Raw genomic sequence first — 27475 nt, 5'->3', positions numbered from 1 at the left:
ATCGCACCACTGCGCTCCAGCCTGGACGACAGAGCGAGACTCTGTCTCAAGAAAAAAAGAAGAAGAAGAAGAAGAAGAAACAGGTAAAATTAACTTTAGTCTATTTTACTTAGCCAATATATCTTAAATATTGCATTTCAATATGTATTCAATATAAAAATTATTTATGACATATTTTGCGTTCTCTATTTTGTATTAAAATTTTAAAATCCGGTGTGGTTTTAAAGACACAGCTCATCTGAATTCAGACTAGCCACACTTCAAATGCTCAGTAGCCACATGTGGCTAATGGCTATCATAATGGACACTGCAACTCTAGAGATTGAAGGTCTGTGTCTATATTTGTACAAGATGGCACCTAAACACAAGCCAATTTGTCATCTGGTGCCTTTCTCCTTCTCCCTGGCTACACACCCCTCACTCCCAATAAGATCGTATGACACCTGAGACTACAGCCCCAGAGAGAAACACTTGGGTTAATATTACTGAATCATAAAAACAGGATAGCAGGAACTATCATCTTGGAGCATGAGTCTTGGTATTTCCAGTCTCAGTGATTCTAGGCCACACATATAAAAGTCTCTTATTGCCATCTGGGAAGGCACACACACCATATGTTTTGGGCTTAGATGAATAAGGCTCATAATCCAATCATACATTTTAAAGGACATTTATTTGTAAACATGTTTAATATTCACAAAATATATTTCATCACTTCTAACTCTATAGAACACTATAATAAGCAAACGGCACACACTAAATGTTCATTATACAGCAAGCTAAAAAAAATTACAACCCTGACCTGATAGAGATTAAATCTAATCTGAAACAGCCTCTATCACTGGACAGAGTCACAAAAGGCCATATGAGCACAAGCACAGCTGTGCAAACACTGAAAATGCATAACTGGAGAGGAACTTGCATCCCACGCAAGTTGAAATAGCAGCCACAGAGAAGGGGAAGTGACTTGGAAATGAAAGCATTATCCATCTGGACCAAATGGTGAAGCTGTGGGAAGCTGTCATTTACATTGGTGAGGAAGGCGTTCACTTCAGAGGGAGAAGAGTCTCCTTAGCTTAAATTTTTGCTCAAATAACCCAGCCCTACACAATATGGGGTTTTGGCAATAGCTGTCGTAAAAATGAAGCTTAATACATGATTTGAGTGGAGGACTTCAAAGTTCTCAACTGTTGTAACCATTAAGCTCATCAATTGACACAAAACTGGATATTCAGAAAAATCCTGGTAAGAATAGGGATTTTGGGTTAAAGTAGTATCATAATTAGAGTCCTTTAAGTTCTTATTGTTTAAAATCCTTCTATAATACATTCGTCAACTTATTTTCCTTAATATAAAAGGAACTGTCTCTAACTTACAGATAGGTTAAAATGTCCCAAAAGTGGAGATTTTCTTCTTAATTTGGTGGTTTGTAACTCAGGATTTATGTTCTCTAAACGTGTCTTGTTAACACATATCTAATACTATAGGGCACAATACTGTAATGTCAATGATATATAGTTGCCACAGTAATATCAATTTTAAAGGAAAAGTACATCCAATATGCCCCTTCTCCACACATTTCCCCAGGCAGTGACATCTAAAGATGAACAAGAAAAATATACAAGTTTTACTTCTTGATTTTTGACACCTATATAACAACAGGCATCTTATTGATCCAAACACCCTCAGAGAGTGCTCATGGGAAGTAGGGCTCTGGAAACTGCCTTCTTGATTCTTGTTTATATGTATGAGTTTATGGTAACACTCAGAGCAAACATTCTTTTTTTCTAGGAAATGGGTTCGTCATTTTTAGTTCATCATTTTTAGCTTTGTCACATATAGCAATGCAGACATAAATAGGAGATTGAACTGAATATCATTTGATTTTAGAACAGCTCTAGAAACTAATTCTTTTTAGTTTCTAGTAAAAAAACTATTTTCTTATAATTCTTTATGACTTGAGCAGCAAAAAACAAAAACAAAAACAAAAACAAAACAAAACCAAAAATAAGGGGGGGGGGCAGATTTATACTAGCTATATAAAGTGGCTTCCACTCTATAAAGTTTTTGTTAATTGAGATATTGCTGATAATTCCTAAGAAAAGAACTTATCTACGCTAAAGGAAAAGGTATTGTTTTGCTAACCTGTGGCAATGATACTGAGATGAAAGATTCTTTCCACTCACATGCCTTGACTAAATGCCCCATTCTAGTTCACTAAGCAGACTGAATGCCAGCCAGGAATTCTGCCCGTATCTTATTAGGATTCCGAAAGTACTTCTGAAGAAGTGGAAATAGGAAGGTCCACATGCCTTGGAAAGTTTTTAACTTTTCTGGAATACAAAATATTTCTTACTCTAACCAATTAAGTTATTAAATTCCACCATAATGTTAGCACTACCCTTTAGCAATTTACTTCAGAGCAAGGATTGTTTTCTTTCAGCTTAAATTTTACCTACATTACATGGGTTCACTTTTATATTATGCATCTCCTTAGGAGTTCAACTCAACTGAACAATTATGTCCTGAGTGTCTATTACGAGTACGACATCCTACAAGGCATTAAAAAAGTTTGAGGAAAATCTGAATAGAAGAAAAGGAAATGGAGGTCTCCAGCAAAATCTGCCAAGTGTTTTTATAAAGTCCCATCTGAACTTCTTTGGAGTAGACCAAGGTGCAGAAATCCATATCCTCTCCCCACATTGCATCCCCTAAAGAGCTTCAAGCATAGCTGGAAAGCCTTGAAACACATCTATTGGAGAGACTTGTCACACTGGACAAAGGCAAGAGCAACTTCTCAGATGCTGCAAATGAGGAACCTATTTGCAAGCCACAGAGGTGGCTAAAACATGGACACTAGCTTCTGTAGACACAGCTTCTAACACACCTTCAGTGCCTCACCCTCCTCACTAGGTAAAGTGGTGAGCGTTCATTGATGAGCTTCATTTGATACCCAAGAAAATCAAGACCTTGAGTCACATGCTCAAGGTTACACAGCAAAGCAGAGGCAGCTTGAAAACTGGATTCAGGCCTTCTGAGCCCCTCTAGTAGACCGCACTGCTCCACAGATGCAGGTAGCTTCTGAGATCAAAACATTCTGTTGGGTAATGATAACCAAAGTACAGCTCATGTTTGTTTATGTAAGGGCCCTGCTCATTTCTGTGGGGAGAACTCAGCCAGGCCACAGAGCAGTCACAGGGCTTTCCAGACTGCAGAGCTGCCCCAGTGTGCATGGCAGCTGGTTCCGCAGGAGTTCACCTGCCCACAGAGATGTTCGGGGTCCTCCGCCTTCCCATTGGTCTTGGTGTCTGCATGACGGGCCACTGTGATCAGACGTGGGGGCAGTAAGCATGCTGAGCAACGTCTGGGTGTCCTGGGGCAGGGGCGGGGGGCATTCTGTGGAGGTGACTGCATCTGGAAAGGGCCCAAGTAGGGAGGGAAATGGGAAAGGATGTGCACAGGCAGTCACAGCTGGACTCCGCCTGGGCTTGCCAGGCTCCCTCCTCTGCCTTCTACTGCTACTCCCTACTTGCTTAACCTCTCCAACTTCCTACTATGCAATGTTTAAAAACCTGCTCAACAAAACATCCTTCTTCCTGGAGAATTTTCCTAACAAAGGGCCCCATTCAGGCGGGGCTGCTTGGGAGGAAGGGAACTGTTGTCCAAAACCTGGCTCTTGCCACTTTCCACCCTGGCCACAAACAAGACTTTTTTTCACAGCTCTTAATCTCAGTTTCCTCCCTGGGCAAGCTCCTCACGCAGACACCAAGACCCACTGAGGCAGAAGGGCCTGAACATTCTATTAGGGCAGGTGAGCTCCTGCAGAACCAGCTGCCAGGCACACTCCAATAGATCTGCTGCCCAGAAAGTCCCATGGCCACTGTGGCCTGGCTGTGCTCTCCCTGCAGAAATGAGCATGGCATTTACATGAAAGATGAAGTAGGATACTTGATTTCACTACTCTGAAATTTTCTTTCCAGTCTGATCTGCTCTCTTGAACTTCAGAGTCATGCATCTCACAGCCTACTTGGCACCTCCACATGGATAAAGATGCATCTCAACTCACCATGTCCAAAGCACGTGCCCCCAACTACAAGCAAATCCCTCAACACACTCCCTGCCCCTCCCACAGATCTTCCTCACCTGTCAGTGCCTCTGTCCACAATGCTCCCCTAGACTGCCGCAAGGACTGCACCTCAGCTGCTGGAGTCCTTCCGCAATGTCACCACCTCAGTGAGGCTTCCCACCAATCTATTTACAATTGCAGTTTCTCCCCAGCACTTCCTACCCACTGCCCTGCTTTCTCTTCCTTCACAGCACTGACGATCATCTGACATTTTGTATACTTTACTTGTTTGGTTCACTGTCATTCTCTCCCAAGGTAGGAGTTGGAGATCCCACCCTGCTTCTCAAACACACCCACCAGGCTCGTCGTTAAGCTAGGTCCAGCAAGAAGCCACACTGCAGCTGAGCCTGACCATATCCAGGTTAGAGTCAGTGGGGACGAAAGTGGGCAGAAGGGGTGTGGGTTATGTGTGGGTCAGCTTCACTTAGGGAGCCATTGCTTGACCTAGACTTGCCCCTCACTGTGAGCTGGGAGGTGAATGCAGCAGCCAAGCCTTGATCCTCTGTGGGAAGCAGATGTCTAAGGCTGGCTTAGCACAGGGGGCAGGAAGCTGGGCTCTGAGACATCCTGACGCAGAGCTGCTTTCCCAGGCTGAACTGCTAAATACGAGACAGAGAAACTTCTATCTTACTTAGGCCACGATATTTCTGGGTCTCTTTGTTACAGCAGCTTAGTATTTATCCTAGCCAATTACATCTCCCACAGAAAGGACAGGGAGTTTTGCTTGTATTTTTAACATCTATAAGGGTTCCTGGCACACAGCTGGTGCCTGATAAATATGTGTTAAATGACGGAATGAATGAATGTCTATGAAATAAAAGGAAAAATCCCAAGTATTCCAGAAAGATGACTTAATGGGGACTTGTCCAATCAATAAGATGAGATTATGCCAATGATGTGTTCATTGGTTGTCTAATAACCTTCCACCTTGGGCTATGTCGCTAATGACAATGCAGATGGAAACAGCTGGAGCAAAGAACAGTTTTGTTTGCATGCACTTAGTTTTTGCAATTAATCAGGCCATGCATGAGAGAGCAAGGGTGGCTCAGATATATATCAATAGAGAATCCATGTAGACCATTGACCACATCCTTGGAATGAATATCAAACAAAAACTTAGCCTTCTCTAGTCCATTTTAAGTAGCGCTTCATGGAGTCATCACAGAAGGATCTTATTATATGCCAAATGTAATCTTAGTTAACAATCTATATAAAATGATGACTGATTTATAATGAATGCCCAAAGAAGAAAACGGGAAGACCTTCAGGAGGTGAACCACTTCTTCCAACACAAGTGCTTTGGTACCAATTTCAGGAACTATCAGGTGAGCTGGATAATGGGGACAGTTAAGCATTCACATCATTTTACCAAATTAGTCGTATTAATCTGACATTTTTACTTACTCCCAACAGTAGACAGAGGTATGGAGAAAACAGTGAGTGCCTAGAGAGCAGTTAACCACAGGAACCTATATTTGTCTTTTGTACAAAAGTTAGCTGAATTATCATCAACACCATCACAGCTACCATATAACCACAAGTGCAGGGGCCAGCCCCTACATACCCACTTTCTGGGCGCTGTAATAACCCTGTGCAGAAAGGATCTCATAGATGGAGAAGTTGATATGTATCTGTACATACTTTTTAATGCCAAACAACCATTAGGTGGCTGGATCTAGATCTGAGCTCAGGTTAGTTTGACTCTTAAAACTTATGCTTTTTTTTTTTTTTTTTTTTTTTAGCATGTTATGTTCTTTCCAACCATTTAGAGTAAAAAAAAAAAAAAAAAAAAAGACTATAGTGTGAAGGATTACTGGTTCAGATTCTGTATAGACCAGTATATTCTAGTTAATCAGCTAACACATACAATATAGCTTGACCTAATTTAAAACACAAGCATGACTTTACAAATCCAACCTGTTTTATCTAAACCCTAGATTAAGGAGGCTATTGAATTTTATTGCAGTAAAAAACAACATATGGCTTATAAACTTCATTTTATGTGTTATTTTAAAGCTCTATGTGGTATCATAAAATGAGCATTAAATAAATGTAGTAGGGAAGATCAAGTTGTAAATGAACTAATTATGCTTTCTGTCTGGGCTTCCACCTTTGAGATTTCATTAACGCCTTATGTTTTCATTAGAGAGTTTAGCACATGAAAATAACACATCTGGTTTCCTTCTGTATAACATATCACTCTGGCAACTCCAACATAATTGGAAATGCAAGCATTTTTACTTATTGGTGACTATGTTTTGACACATGCAATTCAATTAGCAATTAGCAATAAGTACTGGAATATAAGCACAAAAATGAGACATTTAAAAATATTTTTCACTGAAATATTTTATCTTTGACCTTCATATTTGCTTCAAGTAAACTACAATTCAATCCATTGCTTTCTGTGCTCTTCTACCAGCACCAGTACCATCAAAAAGCCCAAATCAAATAAAAGTTTAACAAAATTAAAACCTGATGATGAATCTATTTCTAGTCATGCTCTTTAAAAAATTATTAACAAAGAGCTCTCTTCAATCTTAATTGAGACAAGCATACAGTTCTGAAGTGTAAGCTTTATCTTGTTAATCTAAACTGGTTAAGCAAAAATATCTATGTAACACTCAACATACAAATTCCAGATCTACCACTATAGAGTCTGCCAATAAACAAAATAGTTGAATTTGTAAAATACACTTTATACCAAGCACTCTGACACTGGATACATGTGAAAGAAGAAGGCTTCGTCATTTATGTTTTTTATATTTTAGACTTTAGTCTTAGGACTATGTTTCTTTTTCAATAACCAAAAGAAATATTATTTCCAAAAAAAGCTTGTTCTGTTTGCTCTTCCATTTATATCCATAACTACATTTTTTAAATTGAACTGATTTAAAATTATAGTAAAATAGACATAAGATTTACTATTAAGAAGCTGAATACATTCACAATGTTATGCCACCATCACCACTAATTCTAGAACATTCTTATCTCCCCAAAAGGAAACCCCATACCCATTAAGTGGTCACTCCCTTTCCCCCATCCCTGCAGCCCCTGGCAAGCCCTAATCTGTTTTCTGTCTCTATGGATTTGCCTATTCTGCATATGTCATATAAATGGATATACAGTATTATACAGCCTTTTATGTCTGGCTTCTTTCACTTAGTATAATGTTTTAAAGGTTCATCCACAGTGTAGCTTGTATCGGAGCTTCACTTTTTAATGACTGAATAATATTCCATTGTATAGATACACCACATTTTGTTTAGCCATTTCTCAGATGATGGACATCTTGGTTTTCCCAGCTTTGGCTCTTGTGAATAGTGCTGCTATGCACACTCATGTACAAGATTATTCCACATATTTAAAAACATTCCACAAAGATACATTGTACTTGTTTCACCTGCTATCAAAAGATACATTATTGCCATTACACTAAAGATTATGTTAATTAATAAGTCAGTCAAAAATACTTCCTAAGCAAGAGCTAGGGGAAGAATGGAGGGATTTTATGCCAGAAGAGCTGTTTGGGGTCAATTCCTGTAGGGATTTACAGCTGCAGTGAGAAGTCTGGATTCTATTCTAAGAATGACAGGAGGTACTCAACATCAGAATACACATTCTCTTCACGTGTACATGGAACCTTCTCCAGGACAGACCACCTGTTAGGTCACAAAACAAGTGTCCATAAGTTTGAAAAGACAGAAATCATACAAAGTAGCTTTTCCAATCATAAAGGAACAAAATTAGAAATCAATGAGAGAATGAAAACTGGAAAGTTCACAAATATATGAAAATGCAACAATATACTCTTAAATAATCAATGGGTCAAAGAAGAAATCACAAAGAAAATTAGGAAATACTTTGAGGTGAATAAAAGTAAAAACACAACATACCAAAACTTATGGAATACAACAAAAGCAGTGCTCAGAGGGAAATCTGTATCAATAAATTCCTACATTAAAAAAGAAGCAAGATCTAAAGTCAGTAACTTTACCTTCCACTTTAAAACATTATGGGAAAAAAAACCAAACTAAGCTAAAAGGTAGCAAATGAAAGGAAGTAAGGACTAGGGCAGAGATCAATGAAATAGAGAATAGGAAAATAATGGAAGAAAAAAACAAAAGTTGACTTTTTGAAAAGATCAGTAAAATCTACAAAACTTTAGACTAAGTAAATAAGAGAGAATAGTCAAATTACTAAATTCAGAAATGAAAGAGAATATTACTAAAGTCTTTACAGAAATAAAAAGGATTATAAGACAATACTATAAACAGTCATATGCCAACAAATTGGACAAATTAGATAAAATGGAAAAATTCCTAGAAACACATAAACTAACAAAATGGAAGAAACAGAGAATCTGAATTGATCTATATAACCGAAGAGATTGAATCAGTAATCAAATACTTCCTGAAAAAGAAAAGCCCACAACCTGACAGCTTTACTGGTGAATTCAACCAAATACTTAAAGAAGAATTAACTCCAACACTTCTCAAACTCATCCCAAAAAATGAAGAGGGGAGAACACTTTTAACTCATTCTACAAGGCTAGCATTACTGCATGCCAAAGCCAGATAAAGCTGCCATGAGGGAAAAAAACTACAGATCAAGATCCCTTATAAAGATAGAGACAAACATTATCAACAAAATAGTAGCAAATTGAATTCAGCAGCATATTAAAAGATTATACACCACGACCAAGTGGGATTTATCCCAGGAAGGCAATGGTAGTTAATCATACAAAAGTCAATCAATACAATAAGCAATAATAAAATAAAGGGGAAAAATACACAACAAAATTATTTATGCTGATAAAGCCTTTGACAAAATCCAACACTATTTCATGATAAAAACACTCAATGAACTAGGAAACTTCCTTAACATGACAAAGGTCATATATGAAAAATTCACAGCTAACATCATATTCAGTGATGAAAGACTGAACTGAACACTTACTTTCCCCCAAGATCAAGAAGACAAGGATACCCACTTTTACCAATTCTACTTAATATAGTACTGGAAATCCTAGCCAGAGAAATTACTCAAGAAAAAGAAATAAAAGCATCCAAACTGGGAAGGAAGAAGCAAAACTACCTCTATGTGTAGATGACATTACCTTACATGTTGAAAACGATAAGGATTCCACAAAAAACTGTTAGAACTAATAAATTAATTCAGCAACATTGCAGGATACAAAATCAACATGCAAAAATCAGCTGTATTTTTATACACTAGGCATGAACAATTTAAGAAGCAGATTAAGAAAATAATTCCGTTTACAAAATATCAAAAAGACTAAAATATTTAAGAATAAGTTTAACAAAGGAGGTACAAGACTTGTACACTCAAAACTACCAAACATTATTGAAAGAAATTAAAGAAGACCAAAATATATGGAAGCACCTTCCATGTCCATAGACTGAAAAAATTACTATTGTTAAGATGACAATACTACCCAAAGTGATTTGCAGATTCAATGCAATTCCTGTCAAAATTCAATGGCATTTTTTACAGAAGTGAAAAAGCCTATCCTAAAATTCATATGGAATTTCAAGGAACCCTGAAATAGTCAAAATAGTCTTACAAAAGAACAAAGATGGAGCACTCACATTTCCCAGTTTCAAACCTTACTACAAAAGCTACAGTTAAAAAAAAGGGGGGGTGGTGTGGTACTAGAATAATGACAGACATATAGACCAATGGAACAGAATTGACAGTCCTGAAGTAAACCAATACATTTATGGTCAACTGATTTTTTTAAATGAGTGCCAATACCATTCAATGGGGAAAGGGAAGCCTCTTCAAAAAATGGTGTTAGGAAAACTAGATGTCCACCTGCAAAAGAATGAAGTTGAAGACTACTTCACACCATATTTAAAAGTTGACTAAAAATAGATCAGAGACCTAAATTCAAGAGCTGAAACTAAAATTCTTAGAAGAGGCTGGGCACAGTGGTTCATGCCTATAATCCTAACACTTTGGGAGGCTGAAGTGGAAGGATTGCTTGAGTTAGAGACTAGCCTGGGCAACATTGCAAGAACCCATCTCTATTAAAAAAAAATGTAGCTGGGCATGGTGGTGTCACCTGTAGTCCCAGCTACTCGGGAGGCTGAGACAGGAGGATCATTTGAGCTCAGGAGTTCAAGGTTATAGTAAGCCAAGATCACACTACTGCACTGTAGCCTGGGTGACAGAGCAAGACTCCATCTCTAAATAAATCAATAAATAAATAATCTTAGAAAAAGACATAGAGGAAAATCTTCATGACCTTGGGCTTGGAATGGTTTCTTAAATATACAACAAAAGCACAGAAAACAGAAGAAAACAATAGATACATCGGACTTTATAAAAATTAAAAACTTTTGTGCTTTAAAGGACACCATCAAGGACATGAAATGACAGCCCACAGAGCAGAAGAAAATATTAGCATTTCATACATCTGGTAAGGATTTAATATCCAGAATATATAAAGAGCTCCTACAACTCAACAACAAAAAACAGACAAACAAATTCAAAAGTAGACAAAGGATTTGAATAGACATTTACCAAAAGACATACTAATGGCCAATTAGCACACGAAAAGATGCTCACCATTAATAATTAGGGAAATATAAATCCAGACATGATGAGATACCACTTCATACCCATTAGGATGGCTACAACTTAAAAAATAGAAAATAACAAGTTTTGGTGGAGATGTGGAGAAATTGGGACCTGTGTGAATGTATGACTATTATGGTAAGAACGTAAAATGGTGCAGCTGCTGTGGGATACAGTTTGGTAGTCCTCTAAACATTAAACACAAAGTTACCATACAGTCCAGCAATTTCACTCCTGGGTATATACCCCAAGGAATGGAAAATAAGGAATCAGATACTTGTATATCTTCATAGCAGCATTATTCACAATAGCCAAAAGGTGGAAACAACCCAGTCGTCCATCAGCAGATGACTAGTTAACAAAATGTGGCATAGACATACAGTGGAATATTATTCAGCCTTTTAAAGGAAAGAAAACTTGATACATACCACAAAATGAATGAATCTTGAAAACATTATGCTAAATGAAATAAGCCAGACACAAAAGGACAAATACTAATATAATTCCACTTACAAGAGATACCTAGAATTGGCAAATTCATAGAGACAGAAAGTAGATTATAAATTACTAGGGGTGGGGGAAGGGAGGCACAGGAGCTTTTGTTTAATGGGTGTAGAGCTTCTATCTGGGGTGATGAAAGAGATATGGAAGTAGCTTAGTGGTGATGGCTGCACAATATCATGAATGTTATTAATATCACTGACTTGTATACTTAAAAAAGGCTGAAGTGGCAAACTTTATGTTATATATGTTTTCCCACAATTAAAAAGAAAGCTAATAGGAAGTGATTGGGGGGGCTTCAGGGTGGAGGGTGCCAGGTTCTGCCTTCCGCTTCAGAAAGATCACTGCCCGCTGACCGGGGAGGGAAAGAGAGAAAGGGCAGGCCGGGGGGTGCCGCACTGGCCCAGATATTGATGGTGATGGCTTGGGTTAAGATTACAGTCATGGAGGCTTGTCAGCTGGCTTGATTTGAGAACTGTTTGTTCTAAGAGTAATTGGATACACTGATGGATTGTGAGTCAGGTGCAAGGAAAGGCAGAATCAAGAACACACCTAGGTTTTAGAGTAAACCACTGGATGAATTAGGTGCTGTCTATTAATTTATGGAGATGGTGAAGTTTTGAGGGACCATGGGTTTGGTGGAGGGAGGAAGGAGGTATAAAACATTTTAATTGTTAAGTTTGAGATGCCTATTTATCCACGTGGATCCGTTAAGCCAGCAGCTGGACATACACAACTGAGGCAGAAGAGATTGTAGCTGGAGATATAAATTCAAAAAGCATCAGTGCATAGGTAACGTCCAAAGCCAGGGACTGATCAGATCACCTAGGTGTGTACAGTGTAAAGAAGAGGACCCAGGGCAGAATGCAGGTAGGCTTTGAAATTAGGAAGTCTGATAGAGGAGGAGTCAGCCTCTGAGATAAGGGGAAAACAAGCAGGTATAAAAAAACATATTTCAAGAAACACATAAATAAACCAAGGCTTTGCGGGATGAATTCTTCTGATTCTTAAATAAGTAGGCTACAACAGGCCAGGCACAGTGGCTCACACCTGTAATCCCAGCACTTTGGGAGGCCAAGGCGGTAAGATCACTTGATGCCAGGAGTTTGAGACCAGCCTGGTCAACATGGCGAAAACCCGTCTCTACTAAAAATACAAAAAGTAGCCGGGCATGGTGGTGCACACCTGTAATCCCAGCTACTTGGGAGGCTGAGGTGCAAGAATCCCTTGAACCCAGAAGTGGAGGTTGTGGTGAGCTGAGATCACACGACTGCATTCCAGCCTGGGCAACATAGTGAGACTGTCTCAAAAAAATAAAGGTAGGCTACATCAGGATATTTTATTTTACAGATTAGTTACAGAAAGCAAGTTTGTACATTCTGAAGAAAAAGACTGGTGATTTTTAAAAAATTAATGACCCTGCCCATTGTAGCCCCTTCCAAATTTATTATTGAATGATTCTGAACTAAAATGAAACCAAAATGTGATTTGAAAATGTGATGTCACAAAGTAAGAGGAGCAGAGCTCAGTGGAGTTAAGAGTACTGGTGATCTATTACTGAAGTGGGTTGTTTAGAGCAAGAAAGTATCATTTTTCAAATAGAGGATCACAGAAGGATTACACTAGGATTTGCATCCTTTTCCTAAGGAATCATTCTGATGTTACTTTTGAAACTTCGCCCAAATATATATATATATACACACAGGGGCTTGATATCTCTGCTCACCAGCATCTGAGACTGGCAGACATACAGGCCAGCCTATTTCCTACCGTCTGTGTTTAGGACAGCTCACCGCAGTTGTACTGCACAAAGTAGAAGCAAAAGTTCATCATGTCAGACCACAGTCCTCAAATATGCTCTGAGGGCTGCGTTTCCAAGCTAGTGCCTGATATCGTTTTCACTGCTTTTCTTTTTTGAACTGTGTATTAGTCTGTTCTCATGATGCTAATAAAGACAAATCTGAGACTGGGTAATTTACAAAGGAAAGAGGTTTAATTGACTCACAGTTCAGCAGGGCTGGGGAGGCCTCAGGAAACTTACAATCATGCTGGAAGGGGAAGCAAACACATCCTTCTTCACATGGCGGCAGCAAGGAGAGGTGCCAAGCAAAGGGGGGAAAGCCCCTTATAAAACCATCAGATCTTGTGAGAACTAACTTACTATATCATGAGAACGGGATGAAGGAAACTGCCCCCATGATTCAGTTATCTCCCACTGGGTCCCTCCCACAACATGTGGAGATTATGGGAACTACGAGATGAGATTTGGGTGAGGACATAGCCAAACCATATGAAACTGAGGGCACATCAAAACCAGTACAGCTATGCAAGCTTTTCCCCTATGGTGAGCAATGTTGCAACATTGGTTTATAAATACAGAACTTCTGAGCTTGACTCTTCTTTTAAGTTCCCTTGGTAGGCACTGCCCTAATTATCAGCCCTTTTGTGATTTAAATGTAAGTGAATCAAGGCAGAACCCTATGGTGGCCTCAAGCTGTCTCTGTTTTAATATTAATACTGATGATTCATAACTATGCTTTCATTGTGAGCAGAACTCACTCCTAAGAGGTACACTTTTATATCTTTTTTTCCCACTTAGATTGTTGTATGAACTTGTGTCTAAGGGCTATGAGCCAGGGTAAGTAAAGTGAAATGTAAAAGATGAAAGACTATCCCTGGAACAAAAGAAATGCACATTGCAATGGCACTGATGGGATCTCAACTGGGGCATTGTGGGGTGGAGGTTATTTAGTTATTTAGAACAACACAGAGCAGGACTCTGGAGATATCCCATGGAGGATCTTCGCACCTTCTCGCCATCCGGCAATTCTGATTTAACTATTTCTGTTTTCCTCTGGCTGCCTGCCCATCATTGTTTTATTGCCATCCTCAGCCTGTTACTGTGTGTTGGAAGAAAACCAGAAGAAAATGTGAAATGTCCTCTGTGAAACTGGGGGAGATGTTTATATCCGTTCTGAAATTTAAAGCACTTGGTTCCTCTCACATTTAATTCTCAAGTTCTTACAAGAGTCACTTAAAAAACAGTTTCCTTTAGATTATTAATAAACATTACTCTCTTTTACAAGGCATTCAAAGAGACAGAATTACAGCTAATGTTCCAAAATGGTTTCTATTATCCCATTTTTATCTTCTGAATTATAGGCAGAAAGGTCCAAATCTTGCAATTACATGAATCAAAGCTCTCTACTGCATTCACAAGAGCTTTCATCAAAACATGTTGCTGAATTTATAAAACAGAAGAGGTATGCTATTAGAAAAGCAGAAACTTCTTTAAATAACAACTTCTTACTCTATCAGTTCTTAGATGCTACTTTATCTCTGCTCTTGGAAAATCTTAGGTAATAGCCAGTGGCTTTAAATCTCCTCTCAGAGAGAGAAATAAGTTTATTGTTATTAGTTTGGTACTGACAGAACATTACTCTGGATCGAAGGGTTAAAGGTAAGAACGCAATATCAACAATTAATTACAAAGAATAGTTGCTTTTAATTACACCTACTGATGAAGCAGAAAAAGGCAGCACTGACTGTCTAGATAAATTAATATACGTATGAAAAGACTGCATTTGCAGAATCGATGTGGTAAATTTTCATGTGCCTGTGAACACACATTAAAGTTGGCTTACATGAACCTGATTTTAGTCAATGAGGAGTAAACTGGAAACACATCTACTCCAAAGACCTGACCTGATTTTATTGCTGGAGCTCTGGAGTAGGTATATACTAAAACTGAAAGCATTGTTTATTGATAAATGTAAGCACTCTGCTTCTGAGGGATCATAGTTTAAATTTCTAAAAGGATTTAGATAGAGCCTCCCTCCACTGGTCCATGTGTGATAACAAGCACATCAACAGGCCATCATCCCTCTTTCCTTCCCTCTTTCTTGGCTTTAAAACTTACTGGAAGATGCTGCATATTAATGGTTAACAGCTTTGCAGCCAACAGTCTGGGTTCTCCTCCTGGCTTTGCATGCACTAGCTGTGTAACCACCAGCAAATGACAGCCTCTTGCCTCAGTTTCCTTATTGGTAAAACCAAGAAATAACAATATGTATTTCACAGGATTTTTGTGAGACCTGAATGAAGTACTGCACATAAAGGGTTAGCGTGGAACCTGGCACACAGTAAACTGCCATAAGTGTTAGTCATGCTTTCTCCAATTATTGTTCAGAATCCAGACATTATAATGATTATGTCAGAATCTGGAGTGTCTCTTGACTGAAACCGCCTATACAGTGGAGAGGCCTTTGGAAACGTGACGGAATGAGTGACTTGCAACTAATTGTTGATGCATGTGTCCCCATAGCCCTCAAGTACTAAAGTTAAGAAGGAGAATTAATGATTAAAAACAAACCAAAATAATCTTTTCCAGAAGTTCAGATTTCTTTCTTATAAAAGACATAGACACTGTTATAGATAATCCTCAACTTATGATGGTTCAATCTAAGATTTGCTGACTTTACAATGGCGTGAAACCATTGCAATTTTGACATAGTGTATGATACAGTATTCAGTAAGTTACATGGGATATTCAACATTCTAATAAAATAGGCTTTATGTTAGATGACTTTGCCCAAGTGTAGGCTAATATAAGTGTACTGAGCACATTTAAAGCAGGCTAGGGTAAGCGATGCTGTTTGTTAGATTAGGCGTACTAACACTTTTGACATATATCTTCAATCTGCAACAAATTTATCTGGATGTTGCCCTATTGTAGGTCAAGCAGCATCTGTACATTTATCTAAGTATCTCAAAGGACTTCATCAAAATGATTTCTTCATTGGTAACATCAAGCAATGTTATATAACAATAAGCAACAATTAGCAAAATAATTAAGGAATATTGTGAATGAAATGGTAAAGCCATTACTAAGAAAATCCTGGCCAGGCACGGTGGCTCACGCCTGTAATCCCAGCACTTTGGGAGGCTGAGGCAGGTGGATCACTTGAGGTCAGGAGTTCAAGACCAGCCTGGCCAACATGGTGAAATCCCATCTCCGCTAAAAATACAAAAAATTAGCCAGATGTGGTGGCATATGCCTGTAACCCCAGCTACTTGGGAGGCTGCAGGAGAAACACTTGAACGTGGGAGGCAGAGGTTATAGTGAGCTGAGATTGTGCCACTGCAGTTTAGCCTGGGTGACAGAGCAAGACTCCATCCCTCACCAAAAAAGAAAATCCTTGATCTGCAAATAAGAAAACATTTAATTATTTGTCAATTACATAGACAGCTCTCAGAATACATAGCTGAGGTGCCTCCTGCCAAATTTTTAAAGAAGTCATCATGGTAAATGTTCTCACTCAAGGGATATGGAAAACAAGCCCAAGATCTGAATTTAGAAGATTTTTCTTAAATAGATCATTAGAGAATTCTGCACAGGCAAGACACAGCTGATAGTACCATAATTGAGTGTAATTTTTGTACAAAGATTCAAAAATCTTTCATGGAATCTTTTATTAAACGAACTAAAACAGTATGACTATTTCCTCCCTAGCTGCTTGGGCACTACGACCTGGGTTTGGACTTATTAACCATGTAGCAACAAGAAAATAACAGCATTAATGAACATTAAGAAACAATAACATCACATATTTAAAATACATGCAAGAAAAGAGGCACTGAAGGAAAGGAGTTTGATAGAAATGAACCTGAAGAAAAAAAGGCAGAGAAGAAACCTGTATTTCCTTGGACCTATGTTTTTAGTTCTACTATCAACATTCAAATGGTCTCCCTCACTTACTGCAAAATTATGGCAGGAAACAAAGGCTGGTGAGAGGAGCATATGAGAATTCTCTTTGTAGACAAGCCAATTTGATTTAATTCATTCAAAGAATGGATTGGTGAACATTCTCAGATGAACATCTTGGCATACAGTTTGCCAACATGGAAAGACAAAGGCCTACTTGAGAGGAGAAGGTGTGCAGGAGAAAGGTGGTTAGGAGAAAGAAGACGGGAGGCCACCTGGCCCAGCCTAGCATTTATAACCAGAAAGAGCAGCTCATCTGGTGCCTCCCCTCTCTGACTGTTTTAGTTTTAACTAGAGAGAACCACACTCTCACTCAAAGCTGGGTACAGGTTAGTCATCGAGGAAGGCTGTAGTAGCACTTACTTGGCGATAAGCTGGCAGCATGAAGTTACACAGAAATCTGGCAGTTTCTAATGATTCTCATCAACACAGCTAGCTACATTTTCTGACCTGTATTAGCATCCTGTTTGGTTACTAAAATTGATTTTTAAAAGTAAGCTAGAAGTCACCAAGTCTCTACTTGGTGTGTGGAGATACGGGACTGGTTCCCTGTCGAATCAAGACCATTATTTTCCATTGCGAACCTCCTCCAACTACACAAACAGCCTCCCACAGCATGTTTTATAACAGAGCCTCTCAGGTAGCCAAACCCCTTTCTCTTGCAGGTCAGCACCACCCAGAACGTCTCCGCTGCCTGGCTTGACAGCACTACAGTGTCTTAGTCAGGTGTCAATGCTGTCTAAAACTATAAAGTGAGTTGATGGTCCTTACTAACCTGAGTACAGAGTATTGCGCTCATGTCAGCAGAGTTTTGTTTTGTTCCTAAGCCAAAACCCCACAGTATCATCATTCATTCTGACTGCAACAATAAGTCCTTTGTATTTCAATTGCTAGAAAAATAAAGAACAATTTTAGCATATCCTTTCAAATCCAGCCATGTGCAGCGCTTGGAAATGGTCTTTCCAAATCCTCTGGGCTCTCTCCTCCTCTCCCTCCCTCCCACCACTGCCTCAGTTCTCACTGTCGCCCGCTCCCTCCAGGGCCGGGTCAGGGCACGCAGACCACTGCCCTGCTGGCCAAATCTTCCAGGGGGCCTGACTGGTTTGTGCCAGGTGGTACTGGCTGGGGAGCTACCTAGGGAAGAAGCACCAAGCATGAACTCCAAGAGCTGTAATCTTTCATAGTCTGCTCCTAACACTGGTGGGAGACTCCAGGGAAAGGGGAGGACAAATCCCCCTGGCATGTGGCTATAACTGTGCACAGCAGGGCTCCTGAGGGGAGGCAAAGGAAAGGAGCTATGTCATGAATTGGTGTCCCCAAGGACACCTGCTACGGGGGCTATATGAATTTAAATTTTTTTTAAATTATCTTTTGAGATGGAGCCTTGCTCTGTTGCCCAGGCTGGAGTGCAGTGGCATGATCTTGGCTCACTGCAACCTCTGCCTCCCGGGTTCAAATGATTCTCCTGTCTTAACCTCCTGAGTAGCTGGGATTACAGGCCCACACCACTATGTCTAGCTAATTTTTGTATTTTTAGTAGAGATAGGGTTTCATCATGTTGGCAAGGCTGGTCTCGAACTCCTGACCTCAAGTGATCCACCCTTCTCAGCCTCCCAAAGTGCTGGAATTACAGATGTAAGCCACCACACCTGGCCTTAAAATTTCCTTAAGTTTGACTTTGGTTTTTATTTATTAGTATAAAATGTGAATGTTTCTATCAAGAAAATAAAAATTAATTGTTGAGTTGAACTAAACAGCTCTTATTTCTTCTCAATAGGACAAAAATAAATTACTGATGGACAAGATAAAGACATGAAGAGTTTTCCACTCTATGATGTGCATGTGTATTAATTACACAACAGACCAGCAGAAATGTTGGCATGATGCAGCAATGAAACTCAAGGAAAACAGGACTGAAGGGCACCCGGCAGCCCAGGGACAGGAACCCGCAGCGTGATGGGAGGCTGAGGGAGCAAAGGAGTCAAGAGGATGGTTCAGAGGCACGGGGTGAGGGAGAGAAACTAAGGCAGTAAGAGGGATCCTGAAGCAAACCAGGGACCCAGGAACATCAGCAGAAGGGAGGAAGTCAGGGAGGAAGCTGCTACAGGGGCTGACGGCCACCGCAGCTGAGATCTGGTCAGTTCCTCAACCAAACTTGATTTCTGCTCTTTCCATCTTGCTTCCAGATCACTTGGTCTAGAGACCTGCTGCCCACCAGGATGGACTAGGCCAAATATGATCACGCCTGTCTTTGAGTAAAAGAAAAGAAGACCGAAAAAGCAATGACCATGGGGAGGGGCTGGCAAGGCAGGCAGGTGCACCCCAGGCCTCAGCGCCTGGCCCTAACTGCAGGGCTGACTGAAGGCACCCCATTATGCCGGAGCAACTCACTGCTTCAGGATCCTCTTTGGCACTTGCCGGATTGTAAGTACAGCTGTTTTGTATGTTAATTACCATAAATACCATCATTAACATTGAAAACAATTAAAAGCTGCACAATGGCAGCAGATTACCTACAGTGTTTCTCACAAACATGAGAGAGTAAAGGAACCTTCCCTACCCGCAAGGATGTTTTTCTTTTTAATAGTCTACGGACCCATAACGTCTTGCTGTGTTTATCTGACTGATGAAACAATGAAGCTTTTAAACTTCTGCACCGAGAAACAGAAAAGACACCATAAAAGAAACACATTATTATGGCCTTGAACATCTGTGCTGAGGGAGAGCAAGCTCAAAAATAGTGTGCTTCAACTGGCGCTGCCATCTGGGAATCCAACAGAGACCAGAAACTTGGGCCTCCGCCCTCCCAGTTCCACCACGGACTCTCCTTAACCCTTTGAGTGCCAGGCTCCATTTTGGGCTCCGGCCTCCAGCCCCTGTGAAAGAAAGCAGGGAGTGTCCATTTTCCCTTGCATTTGGAGAAGGCCACGTGGAGACAGGCAGGTGTTAGCCTGCGGACCCTGATCCTGTGAGGCTGCCTTCCCTGTCATCAGTGGATAACTCTTATTTACCTCACTGCACTATTTGAAGAAGTAATCTGTGAAATTATTCTCAGATGATGACACTCAAATTATTTCCACCCATTAACTTCCAACTAAGAAAAAAATGTATATCTGTGCACAGTTTGGTATGGTTGTTTGAGTCTAGACTGAAAAGAAAATCTGGATTTAGACAGTGCTTCCTGCTATCCTCTATGCCAGCAGAATTGATACCGGTATTAATTCACTTATAATTTTACATTTGACAGGACTTACGGCAAAGCACAAAACTCCAGGTTAGGTTAGAAAGAGAATGTTTTTCTTGAGACTTGGAACAGGAAGTCGATTCAGGACTCAGCCCCGGCATTACTGCCTCTTTTACAATCACTAGCATCTTCATTTTAAGAAACAGGGATGAAGAAAAGTTAAATAATTTGTCTGAAAATTAAGTGTTAGGACTCAAAATCAAGCCTTCTTCACAGCGAAGCCTACATGAGCTTCCATGAAAAACATCAAGTAGATGGGTTTGCATTAGTCTTGGGATATCAACTGAGATAGTTATGAGAAAATTAGTAATCAGAGAGAGCTTCCCCTGATTTTATTTTTCAGGCCTTCATCTGTGTCCCCCGGGCCTAAAATCATAGAAAACACTCATGATAATGTAAAAGCTTACGGCAGAATATAAAAGCTTAAGTTAACCTCTTTCAAATACGTGTTTCACTTGGGTTTAGGAAAAAAAACAACAACTCTAATTTTCCTTGACTATCTGAAGAGGCAAACAAAACATAGCAAATATTATAATATTATTAACACATAACTAGTAAATACATGATTTATTTAAATTAAATAAATTGAATTAAATAAACTAATAACCAACTCTTGAGAAAGGGGTGAAAAGCCACACTATTTCTCAAAGCACATACATCTACTGTGCCAGCTAAAAATGCTCTGCTGAAACTAGGAGAGTGAGCTCCTGCTTCCTCCCTTGCTCCCCTCAACTCTACTTCCAACAGGAGTCCGAGGGAAGTTAAATGTATCTTCATAACGGCCCAGGAGCCCTACGTGATGCACCTATCGACTCAGTCACCAGCTGTGGCCTCTGCTGTGGGTGTCTCTGCCTCCTCCCCTCTTTCAGGGCCCTGTCCTAGGGTCACCTTAATAAACCTTCCCTCAGCACCTTATTGTAAATAATAGCTCTGCCCTGCAGCATCGGAATCTTAACTCCCTGAGAACTGGGAAGTTGGCCTGTGGTTTTCACCAGGGCAGCCCCAGTGTCCTCATCAGTGATACGGATATCTTAGCATTCAAGATAGCTGTCCCTAAAGGAGAAGACGAGGAGATCATTCACAACCTGGGAGAGATGTGTTTCTGCAGCACTTCATTAATATCTAGACTAGCATTCTGCACCCAAAACAGACTCCCTGACATGTTTCCTGTGTTAAACATTCCAATACCAAGAATTTTAAAAAGCAATTTTTCTCATTTTGAAGAAAACCATGCCTCCTACGACCCCTGGCAATATTTTCAGGAATTATTTTCAATGGCATTTTAGAAAGTTCAATAGTGAAGATTTTTCAGAAAATCATTTAAAGAGAAAATTTCATAACATAACCCGTTGGTCTCTTGACAGAGAATGAAGCAAGGACAGGAAACATTAACACACACATGCACACATTTTACAACAGCAATAGAGCAAAAAGATGCCTAAACCATATCCCCTAGACGTCTCACTAACGGACCCCTCTGAGGCCACTCCAAGAAGACCAATGCTTAAAAATAGTCACTTTCCTTATGGGAGGGTGACAGAAATGTTCTGTATCATGATGGGGGAAATGATTACATAAGTTATACATCCATCAAAACTCACTGAATTTTACATTTAAAATGATGCATCTTCTTGTATATACATTATATTTCAGTAAAGTTCAAAAATTATTTTGAAAGTTAAAACATCCTTTTAAAATTATAATTATCAAGAAAAATGTTTCTTAAATATTTAATTAAGAAAACTGCTGCATGACTTACAATAGATAAAACTCTCATGAATACTTAAAATATTTTCTCTGAGATAATCGAAATAATAAATGAAGCAATTAAAATAATGTTTTAGACCAGGCTCTGTGGCTCACACCTGTAATCCCAGCACTTTGGGAGGCCAAGGCGGGCAGATCACTTGAGGTCAGGATTTCAAGACCAGCGTGGCCAACATAGTGAAACCCCGTCTCTACTAAAAATACACAAATTAGCCGGGCATGGTGGCACACACCTGTAATCCCAGCTACCTGGGAGGCTGAGGCAGAAGAATCGCTTGAACCTGGGAGGCAGAGGTTGTAGTGAGCCGAGATCACACCACTGCACTCCAGCCTGGATGACAGAGTGAGACTCTGTCTCAAAAAATAATGTTTTAAAAACCCAAAGTGGGATATTATCTTCTAAATTAATTAATTCCTGTTTGAAATTTGACTTCAAGCTTCCATTTTTAACTTTCTAATGCCCTTTTCAACCTTTGAGATTCTTTACCCATTTTTTCAAGTAGGATGACTCAATTACATTTTATTTATAGGTTCAGAATTTTTCTTAATTTATAAATTATTTTAAAACTCTCTTAATCCTGTCCCTCGGAGTTCACCTGGAGAGGCAGTATTGAGCTTGGCCTGTCTGTGCTGCCAGGAAGGCCTGGGGTAGGACTCACCTACCCTCCACGTGACCATGTCCTGTGGAATGAGGGCTTTAAGGAAACACACACCATGGACCATTATGTGAAGGGCAGGCTGAGAAATGCAGATGAAATGCCTGGTACCTTTCGGAATGCAAGAAATACTTGCTATTTCACACTATTCTGGAACTTCTTTTTTCCCTTCTCAAAAACGACGGTACTCAAGTAAACCCCCTAGGAAGTGGCTAGACACCCAAGTTTAAAGACAAAACGATCCCAATCCATTGGTTAAGGCCACATCCCCTGGTCTTCCTTAGACCGTGAACCCAAGAGCTGTTTTCCCACACGGTGCAGGCCCTCACATGCCACCTCAAGAGGGTGAATGCTCCCTATACAAAAAGGAGTGATAGAGCCTGAACTTTGAGTATATCCACTACAGGTTTGGCATCAAATGTGAGTCTGCTTTCCTCCATAAGCTCACATTTATTTTAAGCATTTGATGGGGACACACACAAATCACTGATCCATGTGTGTGGCCACCAATGCACTGTTTCACTACGTGTGGACTTAAGTCCACCTTATTTCACTAAGTCCACAGCTTAATGAAACAGTCCTGCTGGATTTTAGATTTTTAAAAATAAACTGTACTTAATCTGAAAAACATTTAATTTAGTGATGCCCTTTAACAAATCACAACCTGTTGATTGTGAGTAAATATTTAAACCAGCTCAATGGTTTTAAATGTCTAACAGAGACTGAAGATAAAAGCCAGAGAAATTCGATTTATTGGTGACTGGGTAATAATCAACTGCTACTGTTCTCAGAAGGCCCCACCAAAGGCTCAGGCACACAGCGACTTTGAAGAGCAGCTCCCAATTCAAGGGGTGCTGTCAACTCACTCAGTCAAGGCATTCAACTTTTCCATTTTTACTGATAACAGACAAAGTCAATGACTTACAAATATTTAGCAACTTTATGGGAGAAAACTGCTAAATTTGAAAGATTTCAATTTGAGAAAAAGGGCATTTCTTGGGAGACAAGAATCAATGTAGGGCACATGTGTTTAAGAAACTTTTTAAAGAATTTTCTGATTTCTGTAACTTTAATGAAATTAGGGCTATGGAAACATATCTGGAGAATAAGTGTTTGAAATAGCTAAATAATTATATAAACCAATTACATTTATGGTGTATTTTTTCTCTAAACAGGCCAAGACATTTAAACTGCTCAGCTATTGTTTCTTGTTTTGTTTTATTTTTTATTTTATTTTATCTTATGTTTTGAGATGGAGTTTCGCTCTTGTCACCCAGGCTGGAGTGCAACGGTACGATCTCGGCTCACTGCAACCTCCGCCTCCCGCGTTCAAGTGATTCTTCTGCCTCAGCCCCCTGAGTAGCTGGGATTACGGGTGACTGCCACCACGCGCAGCTAATTTTTGTATTTTTAATAGAGACAGGGTTTCGTCATGTCGGCCAGGCTGGTCTCAAACTTCTGACCTCAGGTGATCCACCCACCTTGGCCACCCAAAGTGCTGGGATTACAGGCATGAGCCACCATGCCCAGCCCCAGCTATTGTTTTGAGCATCCTCAGAAAATGAGGAGTTTGCTGTAACAAATTTTCAACATATTTTCAGAAAACAATTGTTTACCTCAATAAGCAAATAACCTTGAGAGGGTCATTTCTGATGTAAATCATTTTTAAATGAATTACAACAGTTTTCTGCTTTCTTGAAAAAGACTTCATGGTCAGGTGTGGTGGCTCATGCCTGTAATCCCAGAACTTTGGGAGGCTGAGGCAGGTGGATCACTTGAGCTCAGGAATTCAACCTCAGCTCTACCGAAAACACAAAAACTAGCCAGCCATGCTGGCATGTACCTGTGGGCCCAGCTACTCAGGAGGCTGAGGTGGGAGGATCACTTGAGCCTGTGAAGTTGAGGCTACAGAGATCTGTGGTGATTGCACCACTGCACTCTAGCCTGGGCTAACAGAGTGAGACTGTCTCAAAAAAAAAAAAAAAAAGACGTCAACAAGTGTAATTTGATCATCCCTGCACCCCTTTTTGGGGTCCAGAATAATAATAAGAACTGTAATTATCATACTAAGGGGTATTAGAGAGAAAACCTCAGGGGTCAGTCATTAGGATGAAAAGGTCTGTTTGCTCCACACTAAAAGGCATCAAATGACAATGTGTTTGGGGTTCTTCATGCTGCTTTTTGTGAGTTTCTGACTCCTCCCTGCAGGCTGCGCTTTCACTTCTGGCTGCCTCCATCTCTGCCTCGATTAGCTTCTCCTCTCTCTTCTAATCCTCTCCACCATGGCTGGTTTGGCTTGGTACAGTAATGCTTGCAACAAAAAATAAATGAGTTCCAAGGGAGAGATTTAAAGGTGTCCTCTTGATAGAGATATAGAGCTGGGACTCTGTGGGGAGACCTGGTTTAAGTTTTCAGCTGTGTTTATTTGGTTTCCACATAAGCAACCTTTGACTACCACTATTTTAGATTATTTTCCAGTAAAATAATGAAATCACATGTTATTGACAAAAAGAAAGAGATACAGTAAAGAAAACCAAGGAACTCTAGACAATGGAAGGAAGGGGAGAAGGAGCAACAGTAACTTAAACCAACCATAAATGGGTGAACAATGGAGGGAATCCCTGCTTTGAACCTCCCAGGGAGGCCTGGTTGGGTAATCTGTCTTCCACAAACCATGGGCTTTCCTTTGATCTCATTGTCTTCCTATTCCCTGCCCTGAAAGTTCTGTTTGGCAGTAAAGAGCTAAGTATTTAAGACTTGCCTATAAGAAGCCACCCCTTCTCTGCTGCCTCAGATACTCATTTAAAATGCATAGTAGCAGTTATGTGTTCCTGAAACAATACCCAAAGCAAGGCCCCTTAAGAGCAGCTGTGCCAGTGATCCCCTGGCTGGACACTTAGGAGTCTTGGTCTGAGGACCACAGCCGACTTGAAAACCCTCAGTAAATGGAGCCCTTAATTAGTCCTTTAGGCACTGGCTTTGTGGGCTCATCATGCAGAGGCCCCAGGAAGTCCTCTTGGAAAAGGGCTGTTAAGTATTAGCAAACTCATCAGAAACAACTCCACTGCAGAAACAAAAAACCATCCACAAACAGAGTAAAAATCACATGACATTCCCAGCAAATGGAAAATGCTTTTGGATTATCTATATCTCATCTGCGTCTCATTATGCAGTCATTTACTCTGATCAGATTCAGTAAATGTTTCAGTGCCCAGGAAGAAGAGGATACCAAGAGCTGGCTTCTTAACTCCATGGTTTGGTTGGCTGAAATACCCAGGAAAGAGCTGAAGTCAACTTGGAATTCAACACGAGGAACTTGCTATTTCTCCCCCTCCCTCCCAGACTCCCTCCTCTTCCTTCTCCTTTAAAGGAAACCTGTATTGATTTCAAAATGCTCCCAATTTATTTCCTTTTAAATTTGTTTTTGTTTGGTTTAAAAGAGGTACTCTTACTTACCAGGCACTCTTACTTTAAAATAATTTAACACTGAATGTCAAGAGACAAAAATATGAGTACCTCTGGACACAGAAATACACTCATGGACATCCATCGTTAGTGCATGAATAAGGCATGACAGCTCGCACAGAAGGGGACAGCAGTGTCACGTGGAATAGGAACAGCCTCAGAAGTCCAACTGTAGGCCACATACCTGTGTGACACTTTACCCAGACAAGTCATTATATGAAAAAAAGTATATCCGAAGTGGCAAAAGAATCCAAAATAGTATGTACAGTGTAATTATGCTCATCTTTTCAAAATCAGTGGCATAGATAGAAAAAAGACTGAAAAGAAAACCCTTAGAATGCTTTGTTTTTGTAATGATCAATGCTGCAAATGCTCTGTTTTGGGGACTACTGGGGTTCCCTTCCACCACTCACTTTTTTCTACTAAATGTTAAAAATTATCTTTAATGAGCAAATACGTCTCAAAGTTTATTTTGAAATTGCCTTTATTTGTTATTTAAAATATATTTTAAACTTCCTTTGGAAAATAATAAACTTTTAATAATGTGATTTATTACTTATTGGTGCAAACAACTGCTTGCTGTCTTCTAAGACTATGAAGCCACATACAATTCCTAAGAGTTGCAGGTCAGCCCAGCTCAGGCTTTCTTTTCTCTCACACAGTGATTTATCTGATCCCTTATCTCTCCAGAATCACGTGGCTTGTCTTACAAAGCCCCCGAGAACAAAGCAAACATCTAGGTTAAACATACTTAAATAAAGTTTTACTCTGGTGAAAACCCCTTTGAATTTTTTCAAAACCATTTGTTCCAACCACAGTATTTGTTCCAAATTAAGTAAACATTGCTAAAAGAAATCATACTAAATCTGCATTTCTTATCAGACTGAAGGCAGGATATGGTTCTAAACTTTCTTGTGTATTTTTCTCTATTTCTCCTTGAAGCTCTAAGTGGGCACAGGTGATTAGGAACTGAAGTTACTTGGGGGAACAATGCCTGCAGCAGGCATTTCTATGTAATGGGTGTCTTTTATTTATCTGCAGTTTACAGGAGTGTCACTCATCAACCCTGAGCTCCATGCCCAGCCAGTCAGTATCACACATTAATGCCATTAGTGCCCAGACAGACGGGCTATGGGAGGATTATCATCACAAATCCATTGTTATTGGGGAGGCGGGGCATACAGCTCATCTGGTGGGGGTAGGGCCAGAGGCCTCAGATCCAGATAGAGAGGGGAGAGACTGGCCTAATTCGGGTCTCTTCAGCCTTCAGCCTCCCAGTCTAGCCATCTGAGTTTCTTCTTTTTTACCCTTTTTTTTTTTTTTTTTTTTTTAAGACAGGGTCTTACTCT

General features: G+C 39.9%; 1 protein-coding gene across 10 annotated transcripts in view, besides 5 other annotated features; it reads right to left on the bottom strand.

Annotated features, from left to right (window-relative positions):
* The window catches only part of TNFRSF19 (TNF receptor superfamily member 19), a 105682-nt gene that overhangs the window by 18334 nt on the left and 59873 nt on the right, over positions 1 to 27475 (bottom strand). The gene's annotated exons all lie outside the window — the stretch shown is intronic.
* Positions 2965 to 3104: an enhancer, noted in NCBI's record as "active region_7460". NCBI's record gives its function as "activates an Ori minimal core promoter by ATAC-STARR-seq in GM12878 lymphoblastoid cells {active_cell/tissue: GM12878}" and the evidence as "EXISTENCE:reporter gene assay evidence [ECO:0000049][PMID:35858748]".
* Positions 3345 to 3846: an enhancer, noted in NCBI's record as "H3K4me1 hESC enhancer chr13:24228053-24228554 (GRCh37/hg19 assembly coordinates)". NCBI's record gives its function as "activates a minimal SCP1, AML or CMV promoter by ChIP-STARR-seq in primed H9 embryonic stem cells {active_cell/tissue: H9 hESC(primed)}" and the evidence as "EXISTENCE:reporter gene assay evidence [ECO:0000049][PMID:30033119]".
* Positions 18077 to 18578: an enhancer, noted in NCBI's record as "H3K4me1 hESC enhancer chr13:24213321-24213822 (GRCh37/hg19 assembly coordinates)". NCBI's record gives its function as "activates a minimal SCP1, AML or CMV promoter by ChIP-STARR-seq in naive H9 embryonic stem cells {active_cell/tissue: H9 hESC(naive)}" and the evidence as "EXISTENCE:reporter gene assay evidence [ECO:0000049][PMID:30033119]".
* Positions 24526 to 25334: an enhancer, noted in NCBI's record as "OCT4-NANOG-H3K27ac-H3K4me1 hESC enhancer chr13:24206565-24207373 (GRCh37/hg19 assembly coordinates)". NCBI's record gives its function as "activates a minimal SCP1, AML or CMV promoter by ChIP-STARR-seq in naive H9 embryonic stem cells {active_cell/tissue: H9 hESC(naive)}" and the evidence as "EXISTENCE:reporter gene assay evidence [ECO:0000049][PMID:30033119]".
* Positions 25335 to 26143: an enhancer, noted in NCBI's record as "NANOG-H3K27ac-H3K4me1 hESC enhancer chr13:24205756-24206564 (GRCh37/hg19 assembly coordinates)". NCBI's record gives its function as "activates a minimal SCP1, AML or CMV promoter by ChIP-STARR-seq in naive H9 embryonic stem cells {active_cell/tissue: H9 hESC(naive)}" and the evidence as "EXISTENCE:reporter gene assay evidence [ECO:0000049][PMID:30033119]".

This window comes from Homo sapiens, chromosome 13, assembly GCF_000001405.40.
Source record: "Homo sapiens chromosome 13, GRCh38.p14 Primary Assembly".
In the NCBI taxonomy this organism is placed as follows: Eukaryota; Metazoa; Chordata; class Mammalia; order Primates; family Hominidae; genus Homo; species Homo sapiens.
This window is presented reverse-complemented; position numbering and strand designations above follow the sequence as displayed.